The 25,681-nt window shown below is 41.5% G+C and overlaps 1 long non-coding RNA gene and 1 pseudogene across 1 annotated transcript in view; both read left to right on the forward strand.

The window, feature by feature from the left end:
• Positions 2,451 to 2,748, forward strand: RN7SL401P (RNA, 7SL, cytoplasmic 401, pseudogene; annotated as a pseudogene).
• The window catches only part of LOC105372191 (uncharacterized), a 28,272-nt gene continuing 16,613 nt past the window's right edge, over positions 14,023 to 25,681 (forward strand). Inside the window, exons 1-2 of the long non-coding RNA XR_935622.3 lie at positions 14,023 to 14,094; positions 17,780 to 17,896. This is a non-coding gene — a long non-coding RNA (uncharacterized LOC105372191). The remainder of the gene's footprint in view (positions 14,095 to 17,779; positions 17,897 to 25,681) is intronic.

A 25,681-nucleotide genomic window follows, 5' to 3' on the forward strand; every position in this document is an offset into this window, starting at 1 on the left:
ATCTTATGTCAGCTGCTTAGTCTACATTTTAATCAACCCAGAGATTTTCCCATGCCCTGATTGCAAATACTGTATTTCAGCTCCCTGCACATTTGAACATCCTATTCCATTTTATATTCTGCTGCAGATTTTGTTCCATGACTTCAAAATCCTAATTCAAGTATTTTCAAATAGAAAAGAGCAAGGAAATGTTCTAGGCAGAAGCATTAACCTGTGGACACAAATAACTGTTTTCACTGAAGCCAGAGGTGATGTAAGAATGTTACCATCCTCTTGCAGAAAGAATAAGAAATAGTGAAATGCAAAGGGGTAGAAAGCCTAGCAGGGATTGGGTTGGGGTGCGGGTTTGTTTACAAGTGGGCTTTTCACTTGCAGGTGAAATGTTTTCACTTATTGTCCATCAGAAGAATGAGGAGTGCTTTTACACTGGGAAGGAAATCTGGAACAAAGGCAGAAAAGTTGCCTTAAAGCCGTGTTAAACATGGCTATTTGAAATTTTAGGGTGTAAACGCACAGAGAAATATATAGAGTTGTTAGTGCCCTTGATTAACTTAAAAAGTTAATATTATACATGACAAAAGCAGCCCACATCCTGTTTTATCTTCTTCTGCATCCAAGCCACAGAAGGAAACCAAACAGGGAACACAGCCTGCGGGACCTCAGAGACTGAGCCTGCTGTCAGGGCAAATGTGTGATTCTGGAGTCCAACATGCCTCTGTACAACACTGGGCCTCAGCTTCTTCCCTACAAACTGAGAGACCTAGAATTGATGCTTATGGTCAGGGTTTGTTTCAGTTCTAATGTTCCATGATTCAGTACCAATTTATTCTTTCTAAATTCAGGAATTGCATATTTTAGTTATTTCTTATTAATTTTTTGGAATACACATTCAATGGATATTCTAAACTGTTTTGTTTTCTCTTATTTTAACAGCATGCTCTTTCTCCCTGGGATCTAAAAGTGTCTTGATTACTAATTAATTTGGCTTCCAGTTAGTTATAAATGAGGAAGCTGCTTTTGTTTGATCCTTGGAATTGGGGTCCCATTGTGTTGGCAGAGCCAAGATTTCGCCTGCCCTTCCCACCTTCGCCTCAGCCCTCACACCCCATCACTTGCAGCTGTTTTCTGTCTCTGGTGTCCTACATCTTTGCCTTGGATAATTCTTACCCTGGGCCCCAACTCTCCAATTTCCGGCTCCCCATCCCACCTCCCACATACACTTATTCACCTCAGCCCACTAAACACAGCCCCTCCATCCACCCACCCCTATTCTATTGCTGACATGGAAATGAAAATTAAAATCTGAAAACTTTCCTTTCCAAACCTGTGCCATTCTCTCCTCCCACCGTCTTCTAACCTGAACTAACACAATTTTCCCGTGATAGCACCACCTTCCTCAAAACCCTTTCCAATATAATTTCCTCCGCAGTGTCCCAAGCTCATGACCTAAGGGAGGGACCCAGAGCACTGGTATTTCCAGATCATGATTTCACCGCCATCACTCTACAAAACAATTCTAGTTGAAAGTCAACACCATCCAGTTCAACAATCCAGTGTGCACCCCCACATTACACAACCCCACCGTCATCAGCCATCTGTCATTCAAAAGTCTCTGCTGCAGATGTCTGTAGGGGCAGAGAGAGGAAGCTTCCCTTCTGCCCTCTGAAGGGTCCCTGAAATAAATTCCTAATAGATCAGCAGGAGAAAAAGGTATACAAATGTATTAACATTCATGGGAGCATCACATGGAAGATAAGTGATAGCCAATAACCCAATGCGATTTGGAAGCTTATATAGACTTCTTCATAGAGGAGAGGGAAATGGAGGCAACCTAGGGAGAGTAAATGGTCTAGAAATAAAAATAAGAATTAAAAAAAGCATCCTTAAAGAATAGGTACTACCCTGACTAGTTGAGCTGTTAATTTCCAGTCTCTTCTAAGTTAGACTATGATTCCTGATGCCTACAACTCTTCCTCAATAGATAACGATGCCCAGGGAGTGTTTTCATGACAATTGGCTTCCTTCTAAAGAATCTGCCTTTAATCAGATGAGGGAAATTCAGGAAAAGCCCTCCGTGCATTTGCTGTTTTCCAAATGCCTTCGGTTTGAGGTAATCAACAAATGCAGCATAATTTAAGACACTATTTTCTGGATTCCTTCATGCTCATAGTTAACTTCTCATAAGATTCACAAAGGGCATTCATGGAAAATTCCAAACAAGGCTCTCAAATGAAAGGACCTGATAATCTGTGTTTTCAACTATTGCTGATATGATTCTTATGATCAGGTAAAAAATATTGTTACTGCCTTTTGTAATAGCCTTAAAAACATACAGATTAGCTGCTACATATTAGCTATTCAGCCTATAGCAAGTTCTATAAAAATGTTCTAAATTCCTTAATATTTAAAATAGGAAAAAAAAAAAAACCTAAAGTCTTTTTTTAAAACCTGCTGGACATAGTGGTGTGTCCCTGTAATCCCAGCTACTTGGGAGTCTGAGGCAGGAGAATTTCTTGGGTCCAGGAGTTCTGGGCTGTAGTGAGCTATGTGGCTGAGGTGTCTGCACTAAGTTTGGCATTAACACAGTGACCTCCAGCAGCAGAGGACCAGCAGGCTGCCTAAGGAGGGATGAACCATTTAAGGATGAAAATAGAGCAAGTCAAACTCCTGTGCTAATCAGTAGTGGGATTATGCATGCGAATAGCCACCACACTCCAGCCTGGGCAACAGAGAGAGACTCAATCTCCTAAAAATAAAAATAATAAATAAATAAATAAGAGTTAATATTAGTGTCCTCATCAGTCTAATGAGAGAATTAATATTCTACAAATCGCTCATCATGACGCCTGATAACTAATCATGACCACCGCTCCCATCCCCCAACTGCTAGTCATTATCACATTCAAGAAGGTCTCAACAAAGGCCTCAGAAGCCACAGTGATCCTCTCCTTACAGCCCGGTCTTTGGCCTTTTCGACTCTAAAGACTCGAACCTCCAATCTCTTTCAGTTTCAGAGGTCCAACTTTGACCCTTGTGAGGCAGACACTAAAGATTTAAGAAAGAGAATTACTAAGAGGCAATCAGGTTAAGTAATGAAAAGGACACTGTTTATAGTCAGCAGACGTGCATTTGAAATACTGGCTTTGCAAATTAAAGCCAGTTGCCTTAGACAACGTTTAGGTTTTTATGTCCCAGTTTCCTCAACTGTACAATGGTGGTAAGTTTGCTTCAATAAGTTGTAAGAATTAAGTCAGATATTTATATATAGTATGCATCAGGCATTAAGAATATGGTAGCTAGGATATTGCTGATGGACTTGATGACACAGGAGTGTTGGGGAAACATAATTAAAAAGAAAATGTCCTCTCAAACCAGAAACCCTCTCCACAAAGGTGAAAAAGAAAGAAAATAACTTCATTATTTAATCAGCATCTAACTGTAATGCAATGTGCATCACAGGCAATCTTCTAAGAGATTGCAAAGACAGAAGGAAATTTCACCCTTTTATGTAACTAAGCAGACACAATCTATTCCATGCATGCTCTCGAGATAAGCAGTAACTAGCCTTTGAGTAAGAAAACTAGACAGCACCACTTATCACAAATAGCTCATCCTATATTCAATTGGGATGAATCTACTTGAGATGATCATGTGTGAGCTAACTGCTTCATGCCAAGGGGAAAAATATCTCCTATCTTTATGAGAGGAGATAGTTTTGGAGCAAGCACCCACCTAAGTTAAGATTCCACCCTCCCAAAGACACTGGGAGATGAGGGCTATCTTCCTTCCTGATCACATTACAAAGGGATGTTCCCAGTCCCCTGAGAAAAAACATTCCCAGGCCCTAAAACTGACAAAAGGCTTATTTAGTTTTTTAAAAGGTTTACAGGCATTTCCAAGAGACACAGAGAGAATTCACAAGTTTTCTAAAGTCAATGGTCCAACACAAAGGAGGAGCTAAGTCTCTTCCTTTATTTTCAATGTGGGAGAATTAGGCCTCCTATTTTAAAATTTGTATTTGCCCATACAATAGGTGAGCTTCAAAAAGAAGAGAAGACTTCTAAGAGGAAAGGAGATACAAAGAAACTCAGAACAACAGGAGGCATGTTGGTCCCTCACCAGTCTCATGGCCTGAAACACATCAGCATACCAGCATACCAAAGTTATAATAGGTGGAGGGAATACCTGCAGGAAATTAAGAGAATAAGAATTAAGCAAAATGAAAATTGTTTGTAGAATCACCATGGAGAAAATGCCAGGGAACAGTATTCAGTAATAGTTGGTACTCAGGTCCTTGTTCCAAGCATCAGGCCATGCTGCTGATGCCGTGGTAGACAAGAGGAACACAGTCGCTTCCTCACAGCAGCTTACAGTCTGAGAGAAAAGACATCACAGTGAAACTATGGCAATGCATTTGCTGGGGAACCATTTGACCAAGCTGCCTCAGCTGCTCTGAACAAGGTATAGACCAAGATTTTCCAACCCGCAGCCCAGGAAGGCTTTGAATGTGGCTCAACACAAATTTGTAAATTTTCTTAAAACATTATGGTATTTTTTGTGTGATTTTTTTTAAAGCTCATCAGGTATCATTAGTGTTCGTGTATTTTATGTGTGGCCCAAGACAATTCTTCCTCTAGTGTGGCCCAGGGAATTCAAAATTTGGACACCCCTAGTGTAGACATTAACGATGGATTGCACAAAAGATTCAGGTTGGATTAGACCTTGAAAACCTATAGAAGGATACAAAAACAACTAAGCTTTTGTATTTTTAGACATTTCTTTCTTCGCCACTATCAAGTCTGATGCCACAGAGAAAGCATAAAGATAAAAAACATCAAAAACCCACTCCAACTGGATATTGAACCCAATTCATTTTTCTACTACCAACCATAAACCTATTTTTTTGTCCTCTCATGAATGATTCAGTAATATGCTACTTAGGTAGTAGAAAGTAGATGGAATCTTTCACGGTATTTCTACAAGACAATTAAGGTTTGAATCATACCCTTGCCCAAGTTGGGCTATTCTTCATCTTCTTTGTTTAAAAAATTCATGTCAATTGATTAAACTATGCTGACTATTCAAGGCAACTAAAATTAATTGTAATACTATAGGGCCACAGTCACCTGCATTCTTGGATAACTGGATATTTGACTTTGTTCTTCTAATCTGTTGTGTTTGCAAGAGATTCCAAAATGCCCACAAGCCTTACAAGTTTCTAGATTCCTTATTGTACCTTCAATCATGACAACATTGAATCACTGGCTTGCTTCACTTTGTTCCCTTCTAGCTTCTGGTGAAGAAATCAGAAAGCAATAAATAAAAGAAGAGCTTAAAGAGCTGAAGACATTTCCCTAACATGCCAGACTCTAGGTGTTGCCTCAGCCTTCAAATCCAGAATTTGAGCTCTGACTATTACATGAAGGAGCAGGACAGACAGAGGAGATACTGTGACCTGGAACTACACACCAATCCCTTGGCAAGAGCCACAGTGATGTTATCCCCCCATTAAAGATCCCTGGTGCGGATCAACCTCCCTCCTTCTGATCAGAGCAGAAGGCAAAGCTTCACTTGTTTGTCCTTGCTTTTGCCTTTGGTTCCTAAAGTTTCATTGACAAATGTGTTGTCTAAAAACTTTCTCCTCCCACCCCAATAACTGAATGTTATTGAAAACATGCTCATTTTCTCTTCATTACATTTACCAAAAATATACTCTTCAAAATAAGCACTTTGTATTAAAAAGACACGATTTTGAAATCACGCTATGTTAGTGGGAACACTAAATCAGAATTCAGTGTTTTAGCCTAAGTTTTAACATTAACTCCTTATTTGATCTTGAGTAATTTTATTTAATTTCTCTGTCATGATTTTCTGACTTCTAAGGTTTCTGTCAATCTGATACTAGGTTGTAAATTTTGACTTATGAAGCTGAAAGTTCTGTGAGGGCTAGGACTGCTCCTTTTTATAATATAATATTTTATTTTATATAATATTTGTATTTATATCATTTGTCCTTTCAATTACCTCAACCTACACATAGGAAATGTGCAGTCTACATTTTTGAATGAGGTAAGGCAGGCTAGCTGCAGAGATCAACTGAGTGAATGGATTTGAGATCACTTTGAACATCATAAATTGATTTATACCTATTAGGTCTTATTCTGAAGAGTATCACTGTGACATTTCAGGAGAGCACATTACCTTGGAACTAGCCGATGGACCAGCACACCAAAATGTCTAAGGGGTACATTGTTATAAAAGAGAATCTATTTCTGCACACTGATGCACTTGTTAAAATGTGTTCACAAAGACAATTAAAATGGAAGATATGTGAAATGATTTTCTCTCGTTCAAAAGTTATGCCAACTTTCCATTCTCAAAGGTCACATGAATCAAGATGCTGTGTGCCAGCACATTCTCATTAGTATGCACTCGAAGTCCAAGCACCATTAGTGGCATTTGGGCACAGATTGCTCACTGATCGCTTTCAACAAGCTGCATGTTGGGAATGTGAGCCTCTCTATTTTGTTACATTTCCTTTTATCTTTGGGAGAGTTGCATTTCATCCAGCATTTTAAGAACAATTCTTTTACGGACTTGCCTCCAAAATTAGATTCCTATAATCCTATTTCTTTTTTTCTATTGAATTGCTGTTGTCTAGATTAAAAATTCACATAACTAAGATGTTTGCCAAAAAAGAGCTCAAATTTCTAATAATTAGAAAACGGAAACAGAATTATTAGTGCCAGATTAAAAAAATGCAACCTGATTTTATAACAGAGTTTGTTCAGCCTATGCATTTTAAAGGAATTTTACAATGGTGCTCCAATTTGTAGCCTAGTACATAACTAATCTAAGATTTTTCATCCAGAACAGATGGTGGGAAAGCATTCCTTTGACTTAGTTTACCACTGTCCAGTGCCTTGTTATAATTCCACGCACAGTGAATGCTTGAGAAATATATGAACAGCATGAAGATGCTCTCTGCATTTACTTCAAGCACATGCTGGGACATGCAACGAAATCATGTGTCTTTGAATGCTACAGCCAGACTTATATTTTAGATACATTCTTACAGAATGAGTGATGTAGTGATCTCTAAATAGAAAGAGAAATGGGAATGTGATTTGAAAGATCAGGATAAAAACAGTTTTTAAAAATTTGTTCCTGCACTCAAAGAGAAGGAAACAAAATAAACTGAGGATAGTGACTTAATACACATTTAATACCATCTTTATTTCTAGATGGAACAGATTGAATGTTCTATTCATACGCTAAAACAAATTTAAAAGCAGTATAATTCTGTATTCAATAAATAGATAGCAGGTCATATTAAAACTATACTGAATTTTCATACAGGAAAAGAATAAACATATATAGAAACAGAAAAAAAATGTGTAAATACATGGACCCAGAGAGAACTGACAAGTGTTACAGGAATAAAAATCTAACTGATCTTTTGGATTTTAAAGACAAAGACTCTGAATATGAGGTCACGTTTATAAAACCACAAGCCAAGGTATAGATATCACTCTTTTATTTTGAGAACGGATATTTCGATATCCAGATTCTCCTGTGTCCCACATGAATTTGTTGATGAAAACGGAGGAAGGTGGCTTTCCCCAGAGTCCCTCCAGTTCCCTAACATGCAACTTTTAGTGAGTATTTTCCTGGATCAGTGGAAATGTCTAAATGAGCTCAGAAAAGTCTTCAGGCCAGAAGACTCATGGACTTGCTCCATACTGGGAGATGACTAGAATTTTGATGAGTCAGATTTCAAGGACTCGTGGCTTACGATGCTTTTCTTATGGCTTTTCTACCCTAAACGTTTCTTTCTATTTGACGTCATAAAAGATATCTGAAGTGTATTAAGCAATTTTGCTGCAATAACAAACAGCCCCCAAAATCTCAGTAGTTTATTTCTCACTCATGGCTCTGTGGTTCAGCTGGAGGCCATGATCCATGGTAAAGGCAGGATTCGGGTCTATTCCGTGTATACGACATCCCGCGATCCAGGACACGTGAGAAGTGGATACCCAGGACATACTCTTCTCATGCAGGGGAAATGAGCACAGAAGGCCAAACCAAATCACACAAGCACATTTAGAGCATCCACCCTGTGCCTCACTGTCACACCCATTCCCATTCCAGTGAAGGTTGCATGGCCAGGCCAACATCACCGAGGCAGGAAAACCTGCTCCTCCTACATGAAGGAGGACTGAATATTTGCTGAAAAAAAATACAATCAAGCATAAAGTGGTTCTAAAGAGCGTGCTGATATTCTTTATATCATCTTGCTGTAAATTAATAAAAAATGCCTTATGCTTTATTTCACACTGCTGCCCACTCTTCTGGGCCACAGCAACTGTGGAGTCACCCTTGACATGGGTTTGCAGAAAGCCAAGGTTCAGAGACAAGCTCAGTTCTTCTGTTGTCCCACTTAATGCTTAAGGCATCCCAATGAGGCAAGCATTGTAACCCACATTGCACACTGACCTCTGAAATCGCTCACCAGTTAGAGAGTGCTATGTGAACACAGGGCAGAGTCAGATCCACACCCAGGCCTATCTGACTCCAGCACCTTTTCTGTGAATCCCTCCACTCTGCTTCCCTGATTCCATCATACTGTCTTTATGCTGTACTACAAGTTAGAGCACATCACCTCTTGCATCTGTTATAATTAAGTAAAAGACCCTAACTTGTTCTCAGAACACAGATTCATGCACCTACTCAGAGACATAAAGCATCAATTTAAATATTTAGTGATAAACAGGGTGACTAAACCAGCAAAAGATGCCAGAAAACTAAATCTGCCTCTACCAAAACTCCAAAATACAATATTTACTACCTCTGTCTTTGTTTTCTGCACTCCAATTTTCTGCCTGAAATACAAGACTAGCAAAGAGTCTCAGGACTAAATTTGGCCGGGTTGCACTTTCTGAGATTATGAAGTTGCAGGGAATCGAAGCTGCCATTCATAATCATTAGTTACAGAATTCTTTCTCTGCGGGTCAGGACAGAATCATATTTCGTCGTTCCCTCGCCTCTGCTGTATTGGAAGAAGTGATAGCCAGGTCACAGAGAAAGTCCTTTTTATTCATTTTGTCCAGATCTAGAAAGTACTGAGTCTCTGTAAATCAGTGGTTTTATTAACGGTGGAATCCTTTCTTCAAATGATATTTTATAACATGCATCTTTTCCAGAATCTTTATATGCAGAACAGAAAACCCTTTACTCTGATGGGAGTTGCCCTGGTAAAGAAAGGGGCAGGACTGGCTCGCCCTTTCCATCATCGTCTTTCTACCCTGCTGCTTTCTCTACAGGAGCCCAGGTAACCCATGATCTAGGTAAGAAAAAGGTCACATCTCAAATAGGCCTGAGTTTTTATTGCAAAAGCCTCATGAACTGGATGTTACTTCCCCAGGGGGCCATCAACATCCATGCATGCACCTGTGTGTCGCACAACTACTCACGTCTTTCCCTTTACCTGTAATGATCTTCAAGTCCTGGTGACTTCTACACAGCCTTACAAGTTCAGACCGAAGGTTTTGAGCTCAGAAGAGGAAAATAATTTCTTCTTCACCTATCTTGTGCACACCAATGTCAGGGCATTTCACAATATGCTATAGTTAATTCCATCCTGTTCATGTCCACTATTAAACATTTTCTTGAGAGTTACACTGGTTTCTCATTCAGCAACATATCCTCAACAATTTGTATAGTATCTAGCACAGAGCAGCCTAAGTTTTATCTCATTTATCTGAATTGAACAAAGCACATGTACTGAAATGCAAGTGTTACATTTGGAGCTATCCAATGTCCCTGTCGATTTATCTATGGCAAGACATGTAACCCCATTTTTCCATGAAGGAAATACCAATTCGTGTTCTGTTGAAATTTAATTTGCTAGTAAAAATTGATTAAGAATTCTTCTAATACTAAGGATTACAGAAACAATGGGAAAATGTTGTCAGCCAGACTTTGGAGCCATTTGAAGTTACAATATGTCTTGGTCTACTCAGCATTTAATTAGTCATTCTGTCTGTCTTAACTTAAAAAGTGGAGCAGGTATTTGCTTAATTCAATAGGCTTTACAAGGACTTCTTTTTAATTTGTCCCTTTGCTTTTAAATTGTTTAGAGTCTTATTTTCAGGACAGGCTCCCTTTAATCAACAGACGGTGCAGAGCAGCGGCAAGAAAACAGAATCATCAGGAGAGAGAAGTTACTTCAATTTCCTTGTAAATGAGTCATGTAAGGCTGACATCATAGTGACAAATGCAAACTTACTTCAGAAAACACCATCATGGGTAATGTTCCTGAGGTGGTGGTGGCTGGTCAAGGGAGCTCAGGCGGCAGGTCTGCCAGACTCGGTAGAAAGTAAGGAAACACCCCCTCATTCTAGGGGTACACCCATTTACTGTGAATGAATGACCTGAAGAAGACAATCTGGAAACTCTTAGACTTCTGGAAGCTACTTTTAGCTTGGGGAGGATATACACAATATCCACAGGTTCCCATGTTCTCCATTGGATACTGATGCAAATAGTGGAACACTGTTGCTCTAAGGAGAAGCCCTTGTGTGGAATGCAGTCACATGCTGCATGACAACATGTCTGTCAACAATGGAGCACATATAAGATTGGAATCCTATAACGTTATAATAAAGCTGAAAAATTCCTACTGTCTAGTGATGTCATAGCCATCCTCATATCATAGTGTGAGGCATTACTCACATGTTTGTGGTGGTGCTGGTGTAAACAAACCTATTGCACAGCCAGTCGTATAAAAGTCTAGCACATGCAATTATGTACAGAACATAATACTTGATAATAAACTACTGTGTTACTGGTTTATGTGTTACTATATGATACTTTTTATTATCTTTTAATTTTAGAGTGCACTTCTACTTCTAAAAAAAGAAGTTAACTGTAAAACAACCTCAGGCTGGTCCTTCAGGAGGTATTCCAGAAGAAGGAATTATCATATAAGAGATGGCAACTCCATGCATGTTACTGCCCCTGAAGACTTTCCAGTGGGACAAGACGTGGAGGTGAAAGAGAGCAATATTGATGACCCTGACCCTGTGCAGACCTAGGTTAATGTGTGTGTTTGTGGCTTAGTTGTAATGAAGAAAAGCTTTTAAAAAATTAAATTTTAGTAAAAAAATGCTTATAGAATAAACATAAAAGGAAACAAAGTTATTTTGTACAACTGTGCAATGTTTTTGTTTCCTGCTAAGTGTTATTACAAAAGAATCGGAATGGTTGAAAAATATTTAAATGTTTACAAAGTAAAAAGTTACAGTAAGCTAAGGTTAATTTGTTATTGAAGAAAGAAAAAAAATATATATATATATATATATATATATATATATATATATATATATATTTTTTTTTTTTTTTTGAGACAGAGTCTTTCTCTGTTGCCCAGGCTGGAGTGCAGTGGTGCGATCTCGGCTCACTGCAAGCTCCACCTCCCGGGTTAACACCCATTCTCCTGCCTCAGCCTCCGGAGTAGCTGGAACTACAGGCGCCTGCCACCATGCCCCTGGCTAATTTTTTTTTTGTATTTTTAGTAGAGATGGGGTTTCACCATGTTAGCCAGGATGGTCTCGATCTCCTGACCTCGTGATCCACCTGCCTCAGCCTCCCAAAGTGCTGGGATTACAGGCGTGAGCCACCATGCCTGGCTGAAAAATATTTTTAATAAATGTGGTATAGCCTAAGCCTACAGTAGTGCATAGTAGTATCCTAGGCTTTCACATTCACTCAGCACTCATTTATTGACCACCCATGCAGATTCCAGCCCTGCAAGCTCCATTCATGGTAAGTGTCCTAGGCAAGTGTACCATTAAAAAATAACAATAATTATATATATATACATACATATATATATATGTATTCAATCGTCTGTTTTTACTAAGCCTTTTCTATGTTTAAATATGTTTAAATACATAAATATCATTGGGTGGCAATTGCCTACAGCATTCAGCACAGTACATGCTTTATAGGTTTATAGCCAAGGAGCAATAGGCTACACCAGGCAGCCTAGGTATGTATAGGCTATACTATCTAGGTGTGTGTAAGTGCACTCTGTGATGTTTCTGCAGTGATGAAATTGCCTAATGAAGTATTTGTCAGAATGTATCCTCACTGCTAAACAACTTATGACCATTGTTAGAATATTTGTTCTTCTTGGCTGGGCGCAGTGGCTCACGCCTATAATCCCAGCAATTTGGGAGGTAGAGGCAGGTGGATCACGAGGTCAGGAGATCGAGACCATCCTGGCTAACATGGTGAAACCACGTCTCTAATAAAAAATACAAAAAATTAGCCGGGCATGGTGGCAGGCGCCTGTGGTCCCAGCTACTCGGGAGGCTGAGGCAGGAGAATGGCATGAACCCAGGAGGCAGAGCTTGCAATGAGCCAAGATCGCACCACTGCACTCCAGCCTGGGTGACAGAGCCAGATTCCATCTCAAAAAAAAAAAAAAGAAAGAAAGAAAGAATATGAACAGATATTCATAGTGCAAACTATGTTTTAAATTTCTGAATAAAGAAATTCTATGCCATCCTATGGTGTATAAAGTCCAACTCTGCAGAAGACTGGCACCTGCACAGACATTTTTTACAACCATGAATTACATAAATGCTTACCTCTGACCTCCAAAAGAAAGTACATTTGAATACAAAAACAGGGCATCTTAGTCCAAAAGACTAAAGGAAGAGTGAGCCCACTAGGACGGCATCTCAGTGCCTCAACAACCTGATGCCCCCAGACCAAGTACCCCCGTACCCCTTGGAACTGCAGCAAATGCAATGACAGCAGTCACAGGAGCTAACTGAGCAGTTACAGAACTAGGTCATCCAGGAAAATCTGCAGTAATCTCCTTTGGCATCAGAAGTAATCTGGTGGATTCAGGGTGGGGGACCATGGACATAATCTGGGCAGAGCATTTTCATGCTGTTTTCTATGATGTCATGTCACTCCCCATTCTAAACCCCCAGTGTCTCCTAGGATAAAATCTAAAATCCTGATCGCAACTCCGAGTCCCTGCAGGCATCTCCAGTCTCACCTGCTCTCCCTTCCTCCTTCATCTCCTCTCCGGTCCTCCCACACACCCTTCCTTGACTGACTGCCCTACTCATCTTCTGCTCCCAGCAGAAAGGACGCGTCTTCAGAGTCACCTTCATCTCCGCAGCCCTCACCTAACTCAGGACCCCTCTTTGATTCTCTCATGCACCCCCTACTCTCCTTGATTGCCTCTCATATGTGATTCTTTGTTCACGGCTGTCTCCCATCAGTACTGGGAACTTCTTGAAAACAAGGCCAATGCCTGTTATTTTTTTTACCACTGTATTTCCAAGTCTAGCATTCCACCCGGAAAGCAGCAGAAACATATGCACTTTTTAAATTTAATTAATTTAATTTAATTTAATAAATTATGTTTTTAAATGTGATAGTCATTTTTTAATTTAATAAATCAAGGAATAAGTTATATACCATGAATAGAAAGAAAAAAGAATGTAGTCACTTCTGAAATCTGGACAACATGTCTGATCGTGCGCAGTCATCAGCACTATTGCGAAAAATCCTTTTAAAAAGTGTGAGCTACATGTCACTTAACTACTGACTTAAAAGGATGCACGTGTGTTACCCATCCATCAGGTCTGGATTGCGCCGAGTGCTCACCTCTGTGTCCTTGGCCTCGATGACAGCACAAAAGCATTCGAACAATATACAGTGTTTGTTAACCCTAAGTGCTCCCACTCATTGAATAGCCACTGTTTGCCAAGTGAGAATACACATGCTCACATTTCACAGAGAAGGAAACTGAGACCCAGAGGTGTGAAATGACTTTCTCAAGACTGTAATGCTAACACATTGTAACACCAGAAACTTAGGACACCATGTCCATGCTGTGTCATTCATTCTTCACTAGTTTATTGATTCAGCAAATATGAATCACTGGCTGCATGCAAGACACTCTGCTAGACATCGGAGATCCCGCTGTGAACAAGCGTCACAACGGCCCTGCTTCCATGGAGCTTGGGTCGCAGCAGATGAAGAACAAAAGTAAACAACCGAGTACAGGTAAGTCCATCTGTCCATAAGGGCTGTAGGAAATAAGTCCTCCGTGATATGATGGTGAAGGGCAGGTGGGGAGATGGCATCTCCGGCCGGGCACCAGGGAAAGGTACTTGGGGCCGCGGTATCTAGCCTGAGATGTGAGCGACAAGAGTGAGTCAGCGGGGGCTCTGGGTCTGCAGCAAGCCTCCAGGGTGAGGAGCAGCAAGTGCAGACACCACTACAGCCCAGAAAGGTGAGTGCGAGGGGCTCGGCCCATCAGGGAGAGGGCGTGGGGTGCGGGGGTAGTGGAGCTGGAGACCCTGGGCCGAGCTCCCAGTGCAAGGTAAGGTGCAGCGGCGCTGGGGCTGAGTGCTTAGGGACCTAAGTCAGAGAAGAACACAGCGCTGCTAAAGCTCACACAGTGCACTCACTCAGGACTGCAGGGAGAAGCGGGGGAAATACTAAGGTACATTAGGGTCCAGAAGAGAGACGGTGTGACTTGACTTAGGCAGCAGGCAAGAGGAGGAGCGGAGAGCAGAGGCAGAGGCAGAGGCAGAGGCAGACAGGACTAGGGGGAAATGTGTCCAGAAGGACTCATGCCTTCACCTTCAGGGAGCCACAGGCTGGGGGCAGGAGGGTTGGGAAGCAGCAATCAGGCTGTCACTGACCTCATGAAGATGGACAGCCCATTGCAGGTGAGTCTCTGATTGTGGGCACCTTCTTATAAAAAGAGAAAGCCAAAATAGGAATACAAGGTTTGTATTTTGCCAAGACATTTTTATAACAAATATTTGGGAAGGCCTTGATCTTGGAACTAATGAAGCTTCTTAACTGTACAAAATTAGTTTTATTAAATCTTAATAAATGATGCTCATTTTGGTGTTTGTGTGTGTGTTTGTGTGTGCGTACGTGCGTGCGTGCATGTGTGTGTGTGTGAGTGTGTTTGAGACAGAGTCTGGCTCTGTCGCCCAGGCTGGAGTGCAGTGGCTCAATCATTTCATTGCAACCTCTGTCTCCCAGGTTCAAGCAATTCTCCTGTCTTAGCCTCCCGAGTAGCTGGGACTACAGGCATGTGCCACCATGCCCGGCTAATTTTTGTATTTTCGGTAGAGATGGGGTTTCACCATGTTGGCCAGGCTGGTCTCGAACTCCTGACCTCAAGTGATCCACCCACCTCGGCCTCCCAAAGTGCTGGCATTACAGGCATGAGTCACTGTGCCTGGCAGCTCATTTTTGTTATTTCTCGGTTGACCAGTGAAATAACATGAAACCTTCTACATGTAACCGGACGTTCCTCAAAGGGGCTCTTCTTTCTGTGGATGCTGGTAGTTGATGCATCCCTCGCTCTCCTAGCCAAGGTCTGTCCCAGAGTTCCCAGATGCATATGCAAAGAGAGCAGCCTCGTCCACTGGGTTGTCTCACAGGTGCCTTTAAATCATGTCCAAACCCAAATATCTCCTACAAAATTTTCTCCTCGAGCGTTTCATGTCTTAGTCAATAGCCCTCCCTTCCATCCAGGTCACTTCAGAAATAAGTGAGCCCTGGGGGGGTTGGAGGGACTTACTTCCTCACCACCACTGTCCCCAGCTAATCCAGGGACAAATCCTATGGATTTTGTTCCCACCAGCTAAGCACACCTACCCCACCCTCCGTTGCCACCATCCCGGCTCAGGCCACTGTCATCTCTCACTGGATGATAGCCACACCATCTTAACTGGCATCAGTGCCTACAATGTTGCCATGGTGAAATCCACTTTTGACAGCACCCTTATTTCTTTTAAATATTAGCTACTGCTATTACATATTTTTAAAATGATACTGGGGATTAATACGCCCTGGATGAGCTTATCCACTCCTGCCCTGCAAGCTTCACAAGGAACACCTGAGCTTTAGAAAAATAACTAAATGGATGCAGTATTGACAAAGGCCAATGTGGAAATATTAATATTTGAAGAGGTTTCTAAAAGGAATATTGCTACCATTATTATTCCCTTCAAAGACAGAGAGATTGTAAATTCAGTTGAACAATAATGCAGTGCTTACTCATTACGCAGTCACTGTTTTAACAGTTACAAAGAAAAATAAGACACATTTCCTAACTTCTGTAAGTCCAGAATTTGGAGGAAACACACTCATACTCACATATAATAGAAGACATGCTGTGATTAATGCCAAAATATAATAATGCCTCAAGTGTCGAGCAGGAGGTGTGATTTAAGTTAGATGTAGAAGAATAAACAGGAATCACCATCTTGTACAACACATCAGAAAACTAAACTTTGTTTCTTTTTTTTTTTTGAGACAGTCTCTCTCTGTTGCCCATGCTAAAATGTGGTGGTGCGATCTCACCTCACTGCAACCTCTGCCTCCTGGGTTCAAGAGATTCTCATGTCTCAGCCTCTCAAGTAGCTGAGATTACAGGCACATGCCACCATGCTGGGCTAATTTTTGTATTTTTAGTAGAGACGGGGTTTCACCACATTGGCCAGGCTGGTCTCAAACTCCTGACCTCAAATGATCCACCCTCCTTGACCACCTAAAATGCTGGGATTACAGGTATGAGCCACCATGCCAGGCCTAAACTGTTTTTGAAGCATTAGCAAAAGTATCTCCTCCTGGACTGTTCAGAAAGGGACCCCTTGGGTATCTGCACAGGCTTAAGAATCTAGAAATGAGTAGACCCAGGAAATCTATTCTTAATGCCTAGGAGACCATTCGGGTGAGCAGAGTAGCCCTGGGAAACCCAAATTTTCTCATGCAGACGGTGAGGTCTCCACCCAGCTATCAAGGTGGCTGGCACTGGATCTGCTACTACCAGAGAGGTCACGTCACTCTGTAAGAAGAAGGCATGAGGGCAAACTCGCTCCAAAGAGCAGCAGGTGACCCAGACAACTGCACAAGCAGACCAGTGCAGTGTCCCATCACTCCTGCCTCAACCCAAAGGAGCCGCTACAGCAGCACACCCCAGTCTCCCAGGGCCAGCCTCCCTCGGATTCCAGGGAACAGCCTCTAGGTAGTGCAGGGCGATTTTCTCTGCATGGTAACCCCAGGCCACCTTTGTCCTGCAGCCAATTATCTTACAGATCCCTCTGCCAGATGGAAACAGCTCTCCCGTACTTGCTGAGAAACAACCACCTTTGTGTGAAAGGAAGGAGGCTGGTTTGCACAAAGAAAGCAGCTGTTGGATCAAGAAACTCTTGTCACCCACACACCTGTTCTTCCCCACTGATATCACACTCTCTATGCATTAATGGCCTGCCAGATCTTATTACAGATAAGGGCTATTTATTCTCAGAAAGATGTTTGAGATAGCCCAGAAAACAGACAAAAGGGAAAAATGCCTTCTTGGTCATGATGGACCTAGTCAGCTTCATAGGTTTCCTGCCGGATTATTTCCAGGCAGCCCTTTCTGTAAGACTGGCCACCACAGTTGGCTCCCCTCCAGCTCCGCAGTGAAACAGGGAGATGCTCTGCTCCCACCTCTTGCTATTTGTCTGATTCAAGACACTACAGCATCGCACATCTGGGCAGACTGGAGCAACTGGCAGACAAATAAACTCCTGGCCCCAGGGAGAAGCTGGCACCCCAGCCCCTCACTGGCCAGCTCACCTCTCCCCACCCTGAGGGATGGCCCTAGGCCACTGCTGACTCAGGACTCAGTTGTGTACCCAAAGCATCTCTGTGACATCCCCACTGTTTTCTCTTGCAGGAAGCATTGTCACCTGATGCCTCAACACAAACTGCCCTGGATGGTGCCAGCTGGAGAAAGTGCACGCAAGCAGCAGTGGGCTTTGCCTGTGGCCAAGAGTCTCCTCCTCATTGTCCTGTAAGTTGAGACACCACTGTGCCTCTCATGGTTCAAATGGAAAGCACACACACACCCTCGCAAACATACACCAGTAGGTGGGAAACTCATCCCCCTCTAGCTGCCCTTGCATTGGATGACTTCCTGTTGAGCAAGACAGCCCTGATGTTCCCCTCAACTTGATTTCGCTTTAGACAGGTTTCTTCCCACCTTGAGGTCCTGACCTCCCTCTTCTTAAAGCCTTCCTTCAATTTGTCATTGTTAAAGACTCTTCATTGTCTTGCCCCTTGACAATGTAAATCTTTTTCAAAGCCTCCTGCCAGTTTTACAACCCAGGATGGTCTTTCTGGATGATCCGGAAGGCATGGCTTTAAAACGTAATCAGCAGGGAATAGAACTCTATCTCATCACTTCTGTGGGAGAGTAGGAACTAACTTTAGTGGGCACCTTACTCCAAGTTGTAAAACTATTTCTTATCCGAAAGAAATGAGAAAATTTGATTTTCCTTTAGGTAAGGCCAAGGAGCAAACACAGTTGGCCTAAGATGCCCCTTGCCAGCTCTGCACCTCTCCAGCCACTTGCTTCGGTGGAGCTGAGTTCAATTTCAACTCCAGCCTTTCTGCTCTCTTGCAGTAGACTTGACTAAAGTCTTCCTGGCATGCTTAACTATGACCAGTGCAATTTTGGCTTAGACGCTATGCAAGATTTTGGAACTTGAGATATGCTCTGTAACGTCTGTGAAGAACAAAAAGGAGCACTTATGTTGCAAAATGAATTGCGTTTGGTTTGCATGAAACAAGCAAAAAAGAGAAACTCTTTAAAGCAGCATTTGATATTTCTAATCAATGAAACCTATTGAAAAATGTGTACATACTTTTAAAATGGCTCCGAAGTTGTGAAATGAACACACAGGATCATGAACTGGTTCCTTGGTCTAGCTTGGATTCTAGAGGACATAGTTTGCCAGATCCTGTAAGGGGGCACCCTAGGACACTTTGGGGTCTTGGTCTAAATTGATATGATTTTGGGAGTACTCACTGTAGCTCTTCCAACATGCCTGTAAAGCAGTTATGAGAGTGCATAAAAAGATGAAAACTAAATGCACATTCACAAAACAAATAAATGCAAAACAAAAGCCAGCCCTTAACCTGAGTTAATCTGCTATCTTAATCAGAGAAATTTCCATTAACTCCAATGAAAATGAAAATGGATGAAAGAAAGAGTAAAATGAGTGAGCAGTGCTGGCTTTCCCATATGGAATACAAACAGACACTGTGTCCACCCTCCAGATCTGCCTTTGGCTCAGAAGCAGTGTCCACACCAGCCCGAGGCAGGGCAGCTACACTTCCTGAGGGGCCCTACCCCTTAGGCATCTAAAGCTTTGCAGCCCACTCACTCCCTTGTGTGTCATTGCCCTTGTGTGTCTATCCACATTCAGAAGCCACTTTTCCCTGTGGGCCAGGGCTGGAGCGAGAGGCACTCTGTTCTGAAGGTGTGGTCATCAAGGTGAAACCCTGTGGGCAGGAACAGAGAGGAGAGGGGCTCTGTGGATGATTCAAGAGGCTTTTACTTGTGAAGAGAGATTTCTGAGGGGCAATTCATCTGCTGGCTGGTTCTCTGAGCCAGTGGGGCCCTCACCAGAGGACTCATGGAACAGGCCAGAGAGCACGGTGGGCCTGGGCGCTGTGTACCTCCTGTCCCTGAGAGGCCCCCCAAGCTGAGCCCAGAGAAAGAATGGGTCAAAGCATGCACAGATCTCCAAGGCATGAAGTCCCGTACATTGAAAGAAGAGGGAGGTGCAGATGAAGACACGCTCACACACATTTCCATACATGTGCTGTATGTTATTTGGGAAAGAACTGTAAGGAGTTGCTGATAATTGGGATGTGAAGAAGGAGGTAAGGGAGTCAATGTCCGTGATCCAGGAGGTGCCTCCTGGTTTCTTAGTTTCTCTCTTACCCCCTCCTGTCCCTCCCCTCTCCTACTCCCCCTTCCTCTCTCTCTTTATCTCCCTCTCTCTCGTTCCTTCTCTTCAAAGATAAAGGTGTTCTTATCCCCCTTCCCCCACAGATCTGCTCCTCTTTCCCATCCTGTTCCTCTTCCGGCTTTCACTATGCATTCATGCTTCTTTGGCTGATATTAACTCCATGTTAATTTCCACTCAAATTACCACTACAGAGTAATTCTCTTCTCTCCATCTCTTTCCAGCAACTTTCTCAGGAAGGTATTTTAATTAGTCACTGACCAGCCAATGGACTGAAGAATCTTAGAGCCAGTTCCAAGCCCTGGTCAAATGAACCATGGCCTGGCTGGGTCTCAAGACTAAGTCATAGATACAGATGCTTTTACAGAAGCTGGGGATGATGCATTTCTCTAGAATCGATTAAATTGATCAAGAACATGCCGACAAAGTTATGTGCTGAGGGCCAGAATTATTCATTATTCCACAATTTTCACAGGTCCAGTACCACGCAACAGGGTTAGAATGAGACCTTGCTTTGTCATACAGAGCCACACCCCTCAGATCAGGAGTCCCCAACCTCTGGGCCACAGACTGGTACTGGTCAATGGCCTGTTAGGAACTGGGCCGCACAGCAGGAGGTGAAAGGCAGGCAAGTGAGCATTACTGCCTGAGTTTCACCTCCTGTCAGATCAGCTGGGACATTTGATTCTCAGAGGAGCACGAACTGTGTTGTGAACTGAGCATGCAAGGGACCTATGCTGCGAGCTCCTTATGAGACTCTAACTAATGCCTGATGATCTAAGGTGGAACAGTTTCATCCCAAAACCATCCCCCCACCACCCACCACAAAACCAGTCCCTGATGCTGAATGTTTGAGGGCTGATGCCTTAGATGATGAGGCTGGAGAGAACCTCTGAGCCTCAGGCCTCTGCCCAGCTGACATTCATGAGACAAGACAAGAGGAGGAGATCCTCAAGGGGCACAGGATGAGAACACACCACCCACAAACTATTCTTGGAATACACTTGGAAATAGACTATAACAAGAGTCAGGGTACAGAAAATTAGGATGAGAGTCAGGAAAATGTCTCTGAAAACATGACATGTATGCTGACACCTAAGCATAGGAATATGCTACTGATGTCAGAAACGTAAGAGAAACACATGGATAGACAAGAGTTGGAAGAAGCTTGGCATCTCTGAGGAAATGAAATATGGCATCTACAGCAGAGGGGGAAGCAAGAGACACAGTGACTTGAGGGCCGCAGTAAGTGATTTAGGGAAACTGGGCTGCCACATGAAGGTGGGGACTTAGGGGGCTGGAGGTTAGAAAAGGAGGCACTTGAAGGATTGTTTTGCCATCCAGATGAAAATCCATGTGACCTAGACCAAGGGGATGGCAGTGCGAATGGACAGAGATGAGGAGCTCTAATAAATACAAAAAATAAATGGTTTGATTTAGAATTAAAAGCACTTGCTAATTGCTTGAATGTGGAGGGTAAGGTAATAAGAGGAATCAGACACCATACTTTATTTTATACTAAGACACAAACTTTTCCCAACTTTGACACCTCTGAAGTGGGGAATGCAGTGGAAATCACTGTCGGGAGGACTGGAGGCAGTCAGCAAGGGGCTGCTGTTGCCCGTGTATGCAAAGCACAGCCTGCAGAATGGTTTCACCCACCAGGAAGAGACATCCTGAGACAACGGTGGGGCATCCACTCATCTGCCCCATCACTGTTCTTGATGGTGGTATTGTCTGTACAAATAATGATCTGGAGTCTAAGAAATCCAAAAGCATAGAACTCAATGTGAAAAATATTTAGGAAAACTTTAGATTTATTTTACTTATGTTTTATTCATATGTATAAACACATGAAAAAAAGCTAATATATGATTTTAAAAAGCTGTCTCTTAAGAGATCCAAATAGACTTTAATAAGTATAAAATGAAATTCTAACTGGTAAGATTTGTTTTAGTCACAGTTTGATAGGTAGCATTTTTCTTCCTTCTCACTAGTACATAAACAATGATATATTTTAACAGTGATGGTAACTTACATTCAATGAAATAAGGTAAGTCTTAAGTCACATGGGTATATGATCAAGTCATTTACCAAAGTGTAAGAGAGATAAAAAGACACACACTGAAACACACACACATAGAGAAAGAGAGAGAGAGATTGATTTTAGAGCACTGAAAGAGATACAAAGTATCCCTATTCATTTTATGAAGCTACCATTACTCTAACACAAAAACCTAAAATTGACACAAAGGAAAATGAGACTGTAGTTCTCTTTTTTATTTATGTGATATATGCAAAGACTCTAAATAAAATACTTGCAAACCTAGGTCAATATAACATTAAAAAACATTACCCTGTGACTACGAAAAAATGTAAGGACAATAGAACATTAGGAAATACATAAATACAATGAATCATATTCAAAGATTAAGACACTTAGGAAAATATGATAAAATTAAAAATCTACTCCTGAAAAAACCTCTTGGGAAACCAGAAATTATAAGATGCTTCCTTAGACTAACTATAATGAATAAGCACTAGTATTTAAAATGCCTTTTGATGTTCCAGCCCGTGTAACAACACCTGAAACAACAGGAACTAGAATGATCAGAACAAGGGGGACAAATGGCCGCTTTACTCACAGGCACCGATTCTGCATCTTAACAAGGAAGAGGGGAGGGGGACAAGGAAAGGAAAAAAAATAAGTATCTATTGAGGCTGATAATGTGTAAAATATGCGAATTTAACCATTTTATATATACTTATGTCATTCAATCCTCCCAACAATGCTACAAAATATATTAAAAATAAACTCAGAATATACAAAATTTCAGTTATGCCACTTAAGCCAGGAAAATAGGCCAAAATCCTTTCTTATATATTGTCAATAAACAATTCAAAATATAAGTGTTAAAATAATTAATTTACAATAACAACTTAAAAATAAAATACCTTTGAATGATCCTAACAAAAAATAAATTAGTCATTAGGAACATTTTTTAAATATAGAACTCTACTGAGAGATTAAAATAATATTTGAATAAAAATAGAAACATACTGTGATACTTAATGAAAGTGCAACATATTGGAAGGATAAGAACTACTTCAAAAATTAATGTATATATTAATTTTCATACTAATCAAAATAACAATATGATATTTACAGAATATGATGGAGGAATTATCAAGATGTGAAAAAAGCACACATATAACAGCAAAAAATATTTTTAAATTAGAATGCGAGGACAATGTTTCTATCTCATCCTAAGTATTTTTAACATTATAATAATTAAACACAAAGTCACTGGTAGATAAATACCATAAAATCAGTCGCTCAGAAAGAGAATTGAGGTAAATGCATTGATTTTTTTAAAAAAAATTAACAAATAGCTGTGCATGACTATAAGCCAGATGCCATACTTGTCATGAGTATACATCAGAACACACAACAGATATGGTTCCACCCCATGAGTCTCTCATTCAGTTGAGGAAGATAGATAATAAACGAGAAAAGAATGACAATTTTTCATTTTTAATTTAAGTGTAACACCAAAGAAAATGACTGAGACAAATCTCGATCAATTTAGAGATTTATTTTGCCAAGGTTGAAGATGTGCCTGGGAAAAAGGGACATAAGCCTCAGTAGGATCTGCGACCGGTACTTTTGATATGGCTTTAACACATGGTGTTATCTGGAGGTGGCCATGACCCTTGGTACACCTGGTGACAAGGAGAAGATGGCGGGAATTGCCATATTGAGTGAACCCAGTTTCTAATGGCCTGCATTTGCATATCAAAGCTTGCGGGCTCCGCCCTTCAAGCTGCCTTTTCTGTTAGAAAAGAGATGGTTCAGGGGTTGTTCTTTATTACAGGGAAATTTCTACCAAGAACTTGTACCCTTACTATCTGTCTAAAAATTATTTCTTATATTGTATTACTTTTTTCAAAGAGGATTTTGAGGCTTCAATGTAAAGGAGAAAAAGTGGGCAGGAGAGGAAAGGAGGAAAGAAAAAACCAGGGAGGGTAGATAAAAGAGAGAAGCGGTCACATTCTTTTGAGGTTTTGATCAGCATTCACTAAATCCAAGCTTTACATGTGAAAGTGGGGGTAGAGACATTCATCTTGCACTCAGTGAAGCTGCATTTCTACATAAGATGAAGAAAACCTCAAGAAGAGGAGGCCGTCAAATAGGCATTTGTCTCAGGTGAGCCGAGGATGGCTTCTAGTCCTGTCTTAGACCCATGCCTGTGAAGATATGCTGTTAATTGATATTGTCAGGGTGAAATTCAGTGGAACTCTGTTTTAGGGTAGAAATTCCTTGGGGTCCAAGGAATTTCCTTGGGAGCAAGTTGGAAGCGAGGCCCCTGGGGATCTCTGTGGCCCTCTGTCTTCGCAGCTATGTATTTAGGATCAAAGTGGGAGGCGGTTTTGCATGACTCGGTTTCCAAGCTTAACATTTCCCTTGGCATAGTGAGTTTGGGGTCCTGAGTCTGTTTTTTGTTTTTGTTTTTTTTTTTTCATACAAGCTATTAAGTAAAAAAACAGGGGACAGGAAGCAAATGTCATGGGTTGGAGAAAGAGCATGTTCTAGATTGGGTGGTCAAGGAGAGTCTCACTGAGAAAGTGACGTTTAAACAAAGGCTGAAAGGAAGGAAAAGGCAGTGATGTACAGACAGGAAGCAGGCGTGTTGCAGGTGGAGGAACAGCATCCCAGCGGCTTTTTGGTGGGTACCATGTGGTGCATTTGAGGAAGGAAACAAAAACCGGTGCTGAGAACACATGTGCAAGACGGTGGACATGTCAGGAGGTGGTTGCTGTCAAAGTTACCACAAACTTAGCGACTTAGTGCAACACACATTGATGATCTTACTGTTTTAAGTATAAATCAGCTCTTCCTGGGCTAAAATCAAAGTGTCTTTGGGGCTGCATTCCTTTCTGGAAGCTTTAGGGAAAAATGTGCTTCCTTGACTTTTTGAGCTCCTGGAGGCCAGCTGCATTCGTTGGCTCCTGGCCCTTCCTGCATCCTCAGAGCCCACAAAGGAGGGGGTAGGGAGTGTCTTTCTCTTGTCACTTCACTCCAACACTCCTACCCTCTCTTCCACATTTAACGACCCCTGTGATCACATTGGGACCACTCCAGTAATCCAGGATGATTACATTGATGATCCCAATTAAAGTTGTCTGCAACTTTCATTCCTTTTTCCACGTAAAGTAACACATATTCACAGACTCTAGGGATGAGGATGTGGACATCCTGGTTGGGGTTGGGGGTTGCATTATTTTGCCTGCCACAATACTGAATGTCATTCTATCCATTCAAGGCAGATTTAACGTCTCTTCTTTTTTTACTTCTTTATCTAGGATATCAAGGTATTATCATTTTTTCTTTTAAATGTTGATGTTTACACATTTCCTAAATTGTAGAGAAAGGTGTTTTCTCAAATAAAGGCATCAATCGGTTTGCAAGGTAAGAAAAAGGGATGAATTCAGGATAAACTAAAAAATGTCAGGGGCATGCCCTATTTACAAAGTTTCTTTGGAATACTGTCTTTTGGTTATCATTAGCTGTCTGTTTGGAGATTTGACTCAGCTTCACTACATCAGGAATTCTTCTAAAGGCAAAATGAAAGTGGGAGGGCTAGGGCTATGTTCTTCTGTCTGTCTGTCTACCTGTCTGTCTGTCTGTCTGTTTTAAGCTGGACAAAACACATACACAAGCACTTGTATCTTCCCAACCTATTTCCTCTTTTTGAAGTAGCTTCAATCCCAGCCTGTTGATTACCAAGCAAAAAATAGTAGGTGTCTGGCAGGAAGAATTC

This window comes from Homo sapiens, chromosome 18, assembly GCF_000001405.40.
Source record: "Homo sapiens chromosome 18, GRCh38.p14 Primary Assembly".
Classification (NCBI taxonomy): domain Eukaryota; kingdom Metazoa; phylum Chordata; class Mammalia; order Primates; family Hominidae; genus Homo; species Homo sapiens.